The 14784-nt window shown below is 35.2% G+C and overlaps 1 protein-coding gene across 2 annotated transcripts in view; it reads left to right on the top strand.

Annotated features, from left to right (window-relative positions):
- Nucleotides 1-14784, top strand: part of FBN2 (fibrillin 2) — a 280337-nt gene that overhangs the window by 19940 nt on the left and 245613 nt on the right. The gene's annotated exons all lie outside the window — the stretch shown is intronic.

Below are 14784 nucleotides of genomic sequence, written 5' to 3'. Positions count from 1 at the left end.
ACCTATATAGACTGCTGAAAAATCTCTGGCATTGATCCCTCATTATGGATCATGGGAATATTTATGTTTCAAGGATTCTAGAGAGTGTGATCTTTTAGGTTGAGCTGAGTTGCGGTGCAGGGCAGTGCAGTGGGGAGAGGGGAGTGGCTCAAGTTTGCTGGCTCCCTCTAGGCCAGCGGAAGCCTGACTCCTGGTCTCCCAGGTCACAAGTACAAAGGAGCAAAAGAGTGTGTGTGCTGTGTGTAAGCTATCTAAAATAATGTCCTGATGGTAAACAGTTTCATGACATATCAAGAAGTTAAACTTCGTAAAATGTGATAAATAACTAGCATCGAGCCATAACAGTAAAAACAAACTTGAGCTAAAATTAATATTACATAATCATTCATTGTTATTTACATCCTCAGTGCATTTTTCCAGAGCTTGTTGTGGCATCAAGTTATACAGCACTTTCTTTATTGTGAAACTAGAATATATGAAATTATGTCAATGAAATATTACAGATAAGTAGGGGTCAAGGTTTATATACATATAGAGGCTTTGAGTCGTGAAAAAGCCTTATATTTTAAAAATTATACTCATTACCCTGACAAAACTTCATCTTGCTTTTCAAGTTTAACCTGGAGAAGAAACTGAGAAATTACAATTATATGGTGAAGTTTGAAAAGTAAAATCTTTTTCACATACATTTGGATGTATATATACATCAAGATATTTTTATTATTTTTAATGTAATTGAGATTTCTTGGGACTGAAGTACATTCCACAAATGATAAGAGTTTAATGTTACACTTAGGATGAATTTAAATGTCTTTACCAGATGCTTTTATTTGGGAAAGAAAAATTAATTATGAAACGTTAGCATAAAAAGATAAATTATTCAGAATGGAATAACACACATTTCTTAGATAACGCTAAGTTTATTTGAACATCATAGAATGTAGAATAAATTTAAAATTTCAAACATAATCATAATTGGTAGAGATGATCTTCATTTTTCTGGGAGTCAGGTAAACTTTGTAGCTCTTTCATCCTGAAGCAGATTTCAAAGTCAATTTGTAATTGGCAAAGAAATTGGGTGAGTAGTTTCAACTCAGAGGCTTCCAGGAATTACGTCATTATTCTTCAACAGTTATTCATTCATTAGATTTGTTAGTCCTTACTAAATTTCTGAGAATTCAATAAAGATTTACATATATTTTACATGTACAGTAGCATGTTTTCCAAAAAAAATTGTAAGATTAATTAGTTAATGGATTACCCTTGGGATATTTTTTAAATGTTGGTTTGTTTCTTAAAAGTCTTATTACTTACTACTCTTCAGATGGAAGTTCTAAAGCTTCATTTCTTTCAAAGAAGGAGTTAACAAGTTGCACTCTTACATAGCAACCATGAACTTTAATATTTTAAAGAGATGTTTTAAATTGAATTTATACATGTATAATAACCCATTCTACTAAAAATGAAGTTCATAATTTTTTTCAAGAAACATTGTGTCTGTGTGGATGCAAAAAGAGTAACTCACTTATGTTGAGGTTGGTGAGTAAGCTCATGTGCCCTGTTAGCGTTTAATGTTTATATATATATTTTTAAATTACTGAATTTCAAAATATATGTTCTTTGTTATCTTAATAAAAAGACCTTTGTAAAATCAGAGATATTTGTTCCTCCTAATGTAGAACACATAATTTCTCTTTAAATTGGCCTTTTGGGATCAGTCATATGATAAAACATGGCTGCTTTTCTAGCTGTCTGGGCTTTTGGCAGACTGGTTTCCAGACCCAGAGACTGAGTAGTAACCAATGGCTGGCATGATTATGGTATTTAACTTGAGTCTGAGTGTGGGTAACCTGAACTTCTTTGGAGTTCTCTTTTCACACTTGCTGATATGTACAATGACCTTTTATACTTAGCATCAAAAAAAAAAAAAAGAGTTCTTGTGGTTACAGGCTAATTGTAAAATGCAGACAGCTCATTTGTGGCCATAGCATATGAAGGTACTCAATTGTTTATGTATCTCTTTCCAAACAAATGTAATTTGAGAAAAAATAAATATCTCACTTAATATACACTTGAGATTAAACAGAAATGGAGTCAGCATTCAATGGTAAGACCTGATGGGTTTTTTCCCTAACACTTAAAATGTACCTTATGTTTTATCAGTAGAAACTTGGAGAGGGTGGGTAGACAAGACATAGATTTACCTGAGGAATTTCTGAACCAAATAGGTGATTACTTGATCGCAAATGTGGCCTGTCTAGAGTCCTTCTTTCAACTTTTTTGACTTAAAGGATTGTTGAAATCTTTTGTAATGGAATTTTCTTTGAAGTTTATATAAGGCTCATCTGTTAGAAATATATCCCAGACCCTTTTAAGTAATACATAAATTACTACTACAAATGGTTTTTATCATGTAAACATGACTTCCTTAAAATAGTATGCAAATTGTGTAAAATTTCAAATAATCTGGTGCTTAGTAACATTTCCTTTAAAATGTACATTTTTTTAGTACAACTTAAAGGAAAAAGGGACTAGAAAATTATTTGTTAATTATTGACATTTTAAAGAAAAATGACTTTTGTTAATCTGCATCTTCAGTGGAATTAAAGGTGAGATCAAGTTGCAAATGTTAGAGTTCAAAAAATCTAAACTTTCAAGCCTTTATGTAAAATGAAAATAGATTGATTTCCATTTAGGTTACCTTTTATGAAATCATCCAGTTATAGACCTAATGCGTGAACCCAGGTCTAAAAGCGTGCTGAGAAGGAGTCACTCCATCTCTGCCTGGATATCTCTAGTCAGGGGCTCTCACTCACTCACCCCATCATGAAACAGTCCTGCTCATCATCAGAGTCCTGCTTGCTGGAACTCTGCATTATTCTGCTGCTGTCCAACCAGGACATTTAGCAGATGTGTAAGATCCCATATAGTCTAATTCAGTGGGAAGATGATGATGACAACTTCTCTGAAAGGAGTCAACCACAACCTGCCACTCAGGTGTGCATGCTGGCAACTTGGCTTCTAATTATAAACTCTTTAATTATTGTATACATTTTTATTTATTCACCCATACTTCAGGAAGTAAAGTAACTGTAGTAGCCATTAAATCTACTTAGACCTTACCCAAATCCTCCAAGAGCAGGTGTAAAGATGGACAAATTTGGATTTTCCTGAATTCTGAGAATAATGTAGACCCAGACTCAAGTTCGTTTAGAAATAACTGATATACTTGTTAATCCAATGGACTTGGAATGTATTATAAAGTATTCAGGGTGACTGTACAGCTTATGAACATTCAAGTAACATAGCAAATTAGTAGTATGACCAGGAATATAGGGAATATGGTGACGAGAACAAGCTGGTATTACATAGAATTCTATACCCAGTGAATTTGATACTTTCAAGAAATGTATAAACAATGTTTTTAAGAAAATAAGTTCCATTGTAATTTTCTGTTTTAAAATGTCATGCATGTTTATTATAAAGTAATTTAGAAATAAAACAAGATGAAAGACGAGAATCTAATTACTCATAATTCCTACACTTAGGATTAATTACCGTTAATGTCTTGGAGACTATAACGTACACTGCACGTTGTAATAACACAAAAGGACAAGCAAGATGTAAGAGTAAGTTATACGTGCTTTGGGGTGTTTACTTCAATTTACCTTTTTAACTACAAATTAGAATATACAAGAGTGTAACTAAACTAATTTTTAAATTTAAATATTTAATATTTATTCATCCAATATTTGTTGAGTACTCTTACAGTATTAGGCTAAGTACTTGGAACTTGAGTTATAAGAAAAACCAATATATACTTCTTATTAATGAGAAGCAAATTATTGAAAAACTAGTCATCTACTTTACACATGAGGATGCAATAAGACACAGTAAATACCGTAATAGGAGTAGGAACAAAAAGTAAGAGAGCTCAGAAATGCTCACTAATGCAGGACAAATTACAAAAGTCTTTCTTTCAGTCAAATGAATGTAGAATGAAAAAACATAGCTTACTACAGTGGGAAAAACAGTATCAGACTAATTCCTGAGATATATCATGATTAAATCTTATACTAATGTTATTTAAACTCCATAATTCATGACCAATTACCCTAATTACTAAGCTGATATTTATTTTGCAGAAATAAAATGTCTCCCTTTTTCTTGCACTCTGAAGATTTAGTAGAATGAAAATTACAATAAGCAGAGAGAGAATGTTACCAACTGCAGATGTCAGACTCACATGTACCCTCAGGCACACACACACACACACACACATTTCTGCACTTGTGAGGCCGTTAAGAAGAGCATTTTATAACCTTGCACTCTCTAAGCTAAACTTAGCCTTAAATGGGCATCAGAGAAATACCAAAAGATCTGTGGGAACTTAACTTTTTGGCACTAGCTCAGTTGATACCCTTATCTTGAATGCCATTAAGAACAGAGGGAAAGAAAATTAGAGAAGGAAAAGCAGACAGTGGGAAGTGGAAGAAAAAGAGGGGAAGGAGAAAATGAAGACTGATAAGAAAAGAGAGATGTAATGCTAGAAGAGAAGTGGAGACGCTTGGTGTTGTATAAAGGAAGGACTTAAATCAGGGAGAAAAATCAATTCACTGATTGATCTACCTGGGAGAGGCCAGGCTTTCACTTCTTAATCCTTAATTTAAGAGTCTGCTGTTTAGATCTGTAAAATAAGACTGAACTTTTGGCAGCCCAGTAGATCCTGATATTTTATTCTCTTTTGAACAAAAGCAGTGTGTATCTCATTTATTCCAGCTCTTTCTTTGATTTTGGTTTATCTACCTACAGGCAGGGAAACCTGCAATATAAAATACAAAGGCTAGAATATTTTATATTTTTAACTCCATAAATATTTTTTCTTGTTTTCCTGTTTCAACATCGGATTAAAAGACATTAGAGGTTAATTGGTGTAGAAACTGGGAAAAACTACCAGACACACACAAATTAAATGTAATCAGTTGTTATTATATAGAATTTACTCAAAAGTAATTAAATCAGATGTGCATGTATATGGGGGAAGTTATGTAACAAATACCGTATATTTCAAAAGTTACAAATTCTTAAATAACACCTGTCTCCAGGGGTTTCAGATAAACAGTTGTGGACCCATAATCACCTCACAGATTCGTTGGAAAGATTAAAAGCAATAATGTGTTAAGCACCTGACACACAATAGGCAGTGTGCCTGACACATGGTAAGCTTCCACTAAGTGTTACTTGTTGTATTTTTAGAACACAGGCTGTAGTCAAAATCAAAGCTTAATATTAAAACCTATGTAACTTTAGAAATGTGATTGCCCTATCTGATGCCTGTTTGTACATATATAATATATATCTATTATGTTAACTTTGAATCATTTTTGTGAAGATTGAATGATATAATGCCTGGCATCCAATAAATGAAATAAATAATGGTCATTAATGCTAATATCGTTTTAAGAGGACTCCCCAGTTATCAAAATGATAGATGTGGTGGCTGGTTATTAGAAATAGAATATTCGAAAATGGACTCTCAAATGGGAGAAAAAAGAATGTTGCGACCTATTTAAGTCATACAAATAAGGCTTGATGATGTTTTTATTGACAGTGGAAAGACTTAGAATAAAGTGGATACTTTAAGAGAAGTTCACAATCCTGAGATGAGATTTAAACAAGAAATGAAGTGCCGTGGCCTGTGTCTAGCACAGAGTTAACTGCTCAATAAATGATCAGCTATAATTTAAAAATTAAGCCAAGATCTGATATGCTTTTTTTTTTTTTTTTTTTTTTGAGACGGGTTCCTGCTCTGTTGCCCAGGGTGGAGTGCAGTGGCGTGATCTTGGCTCACTGCAATCTCCGCCTCCCCGGTTCAAGCTATTCTCCTGCCTCAGCCTCCTGAGTAGCTGGGATTACAGGCATGCGCCACCACCCCTGCTAATATTTTTGTACTTTTAATAGAGATGGGGTTTTGCCACGTTGGCCAGGCTGGTCTCAAACTCCTGACCTCAGGTGATCCACCCGCCTCGGCCTCCGAAAGTGCTGGGATTACAGGCTTAAGCCACTGCGCCTGGCCTGATATGCTGTCTTAGATAAAATTGTCCTAATGGGTGAGAGAGAGACTGTTTCAGGATCTCTGGGACATCAGTTGTGAACAGCGTAAGTTTCACTATTTTACCTTTTGTGGGATTTTTGGTAACGGTACAGATTGACTGGAAAATATTGTATATCATTATTATGACCTTGTTTTTATGCAGTTGAATTAGACCCTACTTATCTTGTTTTGACATGTTTTTATTGTAAATGTCAGTGTTCCTATTAGTACTCATTACTTAACTGGTCTTTTGAAAATGTCTTAGTTTGCCCTTTTCCTATACACAAGTTATTATTCTAAACAGTTTATAGTATAACTCATATATAGGTAGAGTTTACTTAAGCCAAGTACTTGTAATCTATAGATTTGCATATTGCTAAATCTGAATGAAGAAGTAGGTCAGAGAGTTTTTCAAACAGTACAGAGAGGAGTCCATCTGTGATACTTTCTTTGACCACCCTACCTTCCTACCCCCATCTTATTTATTGGGCAAAACTAAGGCAGTCTGTCCTGTCCTTTTACCTGCCATATATCCATTCCTCTAGAATAGCTCTTTTCATTGTGTTGTGACTGTGTATTTGCTTGGCTGTAGGCCTCTTAAGAGCAGAGATACTTTTCTAAAATTGCCTTTGTGTTTCTTATACTCCACACAGTGCAGCATAATGGAAGACGCATCATACATGTGACTGCATAAACATGGGGGATTCCAAGTAGAAGAAATAGGATGAAAATAAGTATAGAGATAATAAAGGTCCTTGAATGTTCACAGAGATTAATCATTTCGTGTGGTTGTAATACACAGTTAGTGAAAGGAAAGAGTAGATGATGAGGCTGGAAAAATAGACACAGACCTTAATTTACAAAGTCTGAAATGCTGGAGTCAAGAGGCTGCCCTCTATACCCTCAAGTAGGCACTGAGTAGAGGAGCTATGAATGACTTGTATGCTTGAAAGCAGTTCTCCACAAACGTCATTCTGGAGTGGCAAACAAAATAGAATGAAGGGTGGAATCTCTTAGAACTCACTGCATGTCTGCTAGATTAAAGTTGTATAATATTTCACTAGGATTATGATTTATGTGTACAAAACTTAGATTTTTAATATAAATTGGAAATTATATAATTTGGAGGGAAGATAACATTTACTGAACTTTTACTATGATAAATACTTTAGAGGAATTAATATTTTTAACAACCCAAAATATTTTTTAACATAACACCATGAATAAAAAAATGGAGGTATAAAGAAGTGAAGCAATTTTCTCATGTTAACTCAGCTAATAAGAAAGTAGGATTGGAACACTGGTGGTATAACCTCAGAACCCATATACTTAGCCTCAACTTTGATTCTAGTGAAACACGACATTGCAAAAATAATGTATTTCCACTCTTTAGAACTATATTGTGTCAGTTCAATATGAGTACTGATAACAAGGCACATGATACCATTGAATTAAAGGGATGGCTTGTCGTTTGGGGATTATTTTCTTATCTAGCCTAGGGAATACACACACATATATATGTATTTCAGATTATGACTCTGAATTCATAGGCTCAGAATTTCTTTATGTATATAATCTAAAATATTCAAAACTCATAGAGCTTAAAACAAAATTCAGACTTCTGTGTTTAGCCAAGATAGACTAACAGGAATAAATTAGCCTTCCTGCCTGAAAAGAATAAAACACAGAACAGAATATATGAAAATGTGGTTTTCATGATATTGGACACTAAGCAACAAAAAACAGTGACCCGTGAGAGAAGGGAAACAACAGTGTGAACCTTTTGACTTCCGCAGCTTGCTGCCTGAAAGGGTTTTTCCAGGTTGTGCTACAACATGGAAGTTTGCCCCACCTGTGGCTCACAGGCTTCATGCAGCCCAGGAGAGCTTTGAATGCAGCCCAACACAAATTCGTAAACTTTCTTAAACCATTATCAGGGTTTTTTTTCTTTTTTCTTTTTTTGGTCATCAGCTATCGTCAGTGTATTTTATGTGTGGCCCAAGACAATTCTTCTTCCAGTGTGGCCCAGGGAAATCAAAAGATTGAACACTCCTGTGCTACGGGGTGAGAAAATCCAGGCACGGCCTAGCAGACTCCCTAAGTTCTGGGGAGATCAAGATGGCTAGAGTTCTCAGGGCAGAATCCTGGTGAGGAAACAGATATATAGAGAGAACTTGTGACATCTACAGAGGCTGTCTCTCAAGTTTTCAGCAGAATACTGACAATCACATTCATGTGAGGAATCTTTCTGAGACTGGAGAAGGAACTGCTTGAAAGGAGTGAAAGGAACAATACTCAGAGTTGCACATAAGCCTGGAAATACTGCCTTCCTCTCTAACCAGATTAGAGGGTCACATAATTGGTGGGGTATTGGTTAGAGTACTCAGAATAGTGTTGCCTCAATAGTGGAGAACAATTAACTATAGACTAAATGCTGCTCTGGCTGTGGAGAATAAATTTTAAAAGTAACAGCTAAAAGGATCAAACATCTATCTAGAAAGTTTAAGAATATTTATAAGAATACAAAAATATTAAGCACTAAATAAAGTAAAAAAAATCCCAATACATGGTATCTAATCAAATATCTGCAATCAAAAATTTTGTGTAAAGAAGCAGGAGAGCATGATCAAAATGGAAAAAAAATCAACTAAAATTCACCCCAAACTGACAAAGATGTTAGAATTAACAGACTGGAAGATGAAAGTAGTTATTATAAGGTATTCCTTATGTCCCTAAAGTTGGAGGAAAGATTAAAAATGTTAAGTAGAGATGTGGAATCCAAATTGAACTTCTACAGATGAAAACTACAATGTCTGAGGTGAACATTTTTCTGGATGGGATTAATGGGAGATGAGACATTATAGGCGAAAAGACGAGTGAGCCTGAAAACATAGCAACAGAAATTATTTGAAATAAAGCACAAAGAAAAAAAGGCTTAAGAATGTAGGAGAGCATAAGTGAGCTCTGTGACAACTTTCAGCAAACTAAATACATATATTTAGAGTTAGCAAAATAATAGATGGCAGAAAAAATATATTTGAAGAAATAATGGTCAAAATTTTTCCAAATTTGATAAATGCTATAAACTGACAGACCCAAGATCAATGAATCCCCAAGCAAAAGAAACTTGAAGAAAATTATATTAAGATACATCATAATCAATTTCTCAAAACCAGGGATACAGGGAAATCTTAAAGTAGCCAGAGAAAAGAGATACATTTTGTATAGAGGAAAAGAAGATAAAAATAACAACAAATTATTTGTCCAAAACAGTACAAGTAAAAAGGAAAGTGGAACAGCACATTTAGAGCACTAAAGTTGAAAAAGACAATTCTCTGTCTAGGCTTTTATATTTAATAAAATGTCTTTCAAAATCAGAAGTAAAATAAATAAAGCTTTTTCCCAATATATAAAAGGGAAGAATTCATTTTCCAGTCACCTGCACAGTAAGAAATATTAAGGCAGTTCTTTAGGCTGAAGAAAAATATTGCCAAATATTTTTGAATATTCTTTGAAAAATATTGAAAGGAATGAAAAGTATCAAAAAACGTAACTATGTGGGTAAATATATAATACTTTTCCTTAGTATTTTAAATCTTTTTAGGAAACAATTGACTGAACAAAAATTAATTACAATGTCCTATGGGGTGTAGAGTAGATGTGGTGGTAAAATAATAAAACAATACACAGAGGCTGGGATGTGCCTATACTATATGTCAAGAATTATGTTACTTGAAGATAGACATTGATAAGTTAAAGATGTGTGGTGTAAACCTTAGAGTAAGCACTAAAAATACAGAGTAATGATTAAAAAGCCAACAAAAGGTGATAAAATGGAATAATAAAGAAGAAAGCAACAAAAGAAGGTAAGAAGAACAAATGATTAATGGATAGTTAGAAAACAAATAGAAAGTGGTAGATTGAAACCTAGCCATGTCAATCATCACAATAAATGTAAATGGTCTCAACACTCCAATTGAAAGATAAAGATTGTTATGTAGGATTTTAAAAATCCAATTATATGCTGCCTATAAGAAATCTATTTTAAATAGAAGACACTAATGGATTAAGACCTAAAAGATGTAAAAAGAAATAATTGGCTAATAGTAATCAAATTAAAGCTGGAGTAGCTAAGTTAATATCAGACAAAGAAGATTTCAGAGCAAGTAATAGTATCAGGCATAAAGAAGGCCATTTCATAATAATAAAGCGGTCAGTTAATCAAGAAGATGTGATGGTTCTAAGTGTTCTCTCACTTAATAGCATAGCTTCAAAATACATGAAATAAAAACAGAACTGCAAGGAGGTGTAGACAAATCCATAATTAATGGAGATTTCAGTACCCCCTCTCAATAATTGAGAGTAGGTAAGAAGTCAATACGGGCATAGAAAACTTTAGCACTGCTGTCAATCTACTTGACCTATTTAATATTTATAGAACACTTTGCCACACAGCAGCAGATAATATACATTCCTTTTTATTGCACATGGAACATGTAGCAAGAAAGATCATATTAAATGGATATTAAGTAGATAATGAACAACTCAAAAGCAAAAATAAGGTAAATAATTTCTTGAAAGACATATATCGCCAAAGCTCAATTAAGAATACAGGTGGCCTTTTGAATCCATGAGTTCCATGCATGTGGATTCAGCCATGGATCAAAAATATTTGAAAATAACAATAAAAATAACAGTACAACAAAAAATAATATGAACTTAAAAAGTTTAGCAGTAAGACAACCATTTATATAGCATTTACCTTGTATTATGTACTATTGGTAATCTAGAGCTTATTTAAAGTGTATGGGTGAATGTGTGTATGTTATATGCAAATACTACATAATTTTTTTATCAGGGACTTGAGCCTCTATGGATTTCGGTATCTCTGGGCATCCTGGAACCAGTTCCCTGCAGATACTAAGGGACTGCTGTAAATAACATGAATATCCCTGTATCAATTAAATAAATTGAATGTGTAACTTAAAACCTTCTCATGAAGAAAACTACTGGCCCAAAAAGCTTTACTGGTGAATTCTACCAAACATTTAAGAAAGCAAAAATACCAATTCTATGTAGATTTCTCTAGAAAGTTGAACAGGAGTTAAAACTTCCCAACTGCTTCTGTGAGGCCAAATTACCTTGATACCAAAACCAGAAAAAGACATATCAAGAAGAAAACAACATATAAATATCAATTATGATATACAATTTCTCAACAAAATTTTAGCAAATGTATCAATAATATGGTAAAAGGATAATAGATCATAGCCAATTGAGATTTATCCTATGATATTAAAAAACATCGTGTTTCACTATATGAACAAATTCTAAAAAATCAGAGTGTTCATCTAAATATAGCTGACAAAGCATTTGACAAATTCTGATGCCAAAATCTGTTCCCAAAACAGTCAGCAAGATAAAGAATAGAAGAGAATTTCCTCAACATGAAAGAAGGGCATTTCCAAAAAAACTGTAATATGGTGACAAAGCAAGGATAGTCACTCTCGTCACTTCTGTTGAACATTGCACTGTTTGGTCCTAGCAATGGCAATAGGCAATACAAAGAAATGAAAGTCATGTATTTGGAAAGGAGGAAGTAAAATTGTTTTACTTGTAGATGATGTTATTGTCTATGTAGAAAATCCGATGGACTTTACAAAAATCTACTGGAGCTCATAAGTAAGTTCAGCAAGGCTGCAGGATACAAACTAATGGCAGTTGCATTTCCATATCTAACAATGATCAGTTGAAAATCTAAGTTGAAAACAATACCATTTACATCATCTTATTTATTATGTAATACTCATGGATAATTCTGCAAAAGATGCAGAAGCCCATGTGCTGAAAACTGCAAAACATTGCTGAACAAAATTAATGAAGACCTAATAAATGAAGAAATACATATGTTCATTAGTTGGAAGACTCAATATTGTGGGGTATCTCTTCTCCCAAAATTGTTGTATGAATTCAGCATAGGACTGATCAAAATCACAGCAAAAGTCTTACCAGGAATGTATGAAGTCCAGTAGAGCAGTATCTCATTGTGATTTTCAATGTCATTCATCATTAGGGAAATGCAAACTAAAATCACAATGAGATGTCATTCTACTGTATGCATTGCTTGTAAGAAAGTACATGGTACAACCATTTTTGAAAACTGTCAAGTTTCTTAAAAAGTTAAGTATATGCATATCATATGATTAGGCTATTTCACGCTTTATTTGCCCCAGCTAAATGAAAGCTTATATTCATACAAAAACTTGTACTCAAAGGCTTTGTAGCAGCCTTATTTGTAATAGTGCCAAACTGCAAACAACCCAAATGCCCATCAGCAGATAAATCAAGAAACAAGTTGTATATTCATACAGTGCATACAACGGAATATTTATTGTTTGTTAAAAAAGTAATGAATTATTTATATGTACATTATTGATGAACCTTAAATTATTTAGGCTGAGCAAAAGAAGACAGTTGAAAAAGAGTAAATACATTATGATTTTATTTTTATATAATTCTAGATAATTAAAACTACTATGACGACTTGCAGAGTAGTGGTTGCCTAGGGATGCAAAGGTATGGATAGGCAGGATAGAACAATGACACAGGAACAGGTGGTAACTTGTAAGAGTGAAGGATATGTTGTTATATAGGTTGTAATGATGATGGGGTTATACATGTATAAAACCATACATGTACACTTTAAATATATGATGCTGATTGTATGTTTATTATACCTCGGGAAAGCTGTTAAAAAATTGAACAATGAAAGTAATTGTTTCTCCTTTTGTATAAGTTGGTTTAGGTTTTGGGATTAATGCTTCTGGCCACATACACTTTTTTTCTACTTGTGGTTAGGGAAACACAGTGAGGGATGCTTCCAGAATCATTGTGCACATCTTTTTTGGGACTTCTATTTGGGGATATTGAGAAAGTAATGTTACTAATTATTGTCTGCATAATCAGTATGAGTTTTTCAAGGAGCAGATGGCCATTGTAGTAGTCTGTTCTGCCACTGCTAATAAAGACATAACCAAGAATGGGTAATTTATAAAGGAAAGAGGTTTAATTGACACACAGTTCCACATGGCTGGGAGGCCTCACAATCACGGCAGAAGGCAAATGAGGAGCAGAATCACATCTTAAATGGCGGCAGGAAAGAGAGCTTGTGTAGGAGAAAACCCCTTTGTAAAACCATCAGATCTTGTGAGACTTATTCACTACCATGAGAACAGTATGGGGAAAACTGCTCCCATAATTCAGCTATCTTCACCTAGCCCTGCTGTTGACTCATGGGGATTATTACAATTCTAAGTGAGATTTGGGTGGGGACACAGCCAAACCATATCATTCTGCCCCGGGCTCCTCCCAAATCTCATGTCCTCACATTTCAAAACACAATCATGCCTTCCCAACAACTCTCCAAAGTCTTAGCTCATTCTAGCATTAACCTAAAAGTCCAATTCCAAAGTCTAATCTGAGACAAGGCAAGTCCCTTCTGCCTAGGAGCCTGTAAAATTGAAAGCAAGTTAGTTACTTCCTAGATACAATGGTTGTGCAGGCATTGGGTAAATACACCTGTTCCAAATGGGACAAATTGGTCAAAACAAAGGGGCTACAAGCCTCATGCAAGTCTGAAATCCAGTGGGGCAGTCAAATCTTAAAGCTCCATAATGATCCCTTTTGACTCCATGTCTCACATCCAGGTCATGCTGAAGCAAGAGGTGGGTCCCCATGGTCTTGGGCAGCTCCGCCCCTGTAGCTTTGCAGGTTACAGCCCCTCTCACGCTGCTTTCATGGGCTGGTGTTGAGTGCCTGTGGCTTTTCTAGGCACACAGTACAAGTTGTTGTTGGTGAATCTACCATTCTGGGGTCTGGAGGATGGTGGCCCTCTTCTCACAGCTCCACTAGACAGTGTCCCAGTGGGGACTCTGTGTGGGGGCTGCGACCCCACATTTCCCTTCCACACTGCCCTAGCAGAGGTTCTCCATTAGGGCTCCACCCGTGCAGCACACCTCTGCCTGGACATCCAGGCATTTGCATACATCCTCTAAAATCTAGGTGGAGTTCCCAAACCTCAATTCTTGACTTCTGTGCACTCACAGGCCCAACACCATGTGGAAGCCACCAAGGTTTAGGGCTTACAACCTCTGAAGCAACAGCCTGAGCTGTACATTGGCCCCTTTTAGCCACAGCTGGAGCTGGAGCAGCTGAGATGCAGGGCACTATGTCCCAAGGCTGCATAGAGCGGGGTTTGAGTGTGGGGGGCCTGGGGACCAGGCCCAGGAAACCATTTTTTCCTCCCAGACCTCCAGGCCTGTGATGGAAGGGGCTGCCATGAAGGTCTCTGACATGCCCTGGAGACATTTTTCCCATTGTCTTGGGGATTAACATTTGGTTCCTCATTACTTGGGCAAATTTCTACAGCTGGCTTGAATTTCTCCCCAGAAAATGGTGTTTTCTTTTCTATCACATTGTCAGGCTGCAATTTTTTTCAAACTTTTATGACCTGCTTCCTCTTGAATGCTTTGCCACTTAGAAAGTTCTTCCACCAGATATCCTAAATCATCTCTCTCAAGCTCGAAGTTCCACAGACCTCTAGGACAGGGGCAAAATGCTGCCAGTATCTGTGCATATCAAGAGTGGCATTTACTCCAGTTCCCAACAAGTTCCTCATCTCCATCTGAGAC

The sequence above is a fragment of the Homo sapiens genome, chromosome 5 (assembly GCF_000001405.40).
Source record: "Homo sapiens chromosome 5, GRCh38.p14 Primary Assembly".
Lineage (NCBI taxonomy): Eukaryota > Metazoa > Chordata > Mammalia > Primates > Hominidae > Homo > Homo sapiens.
The sequence above is the reverse complement of the archived record's forward strand: the minus strand, read 5'-3'. Positions and strand labels throughout refer to the sequence as shown.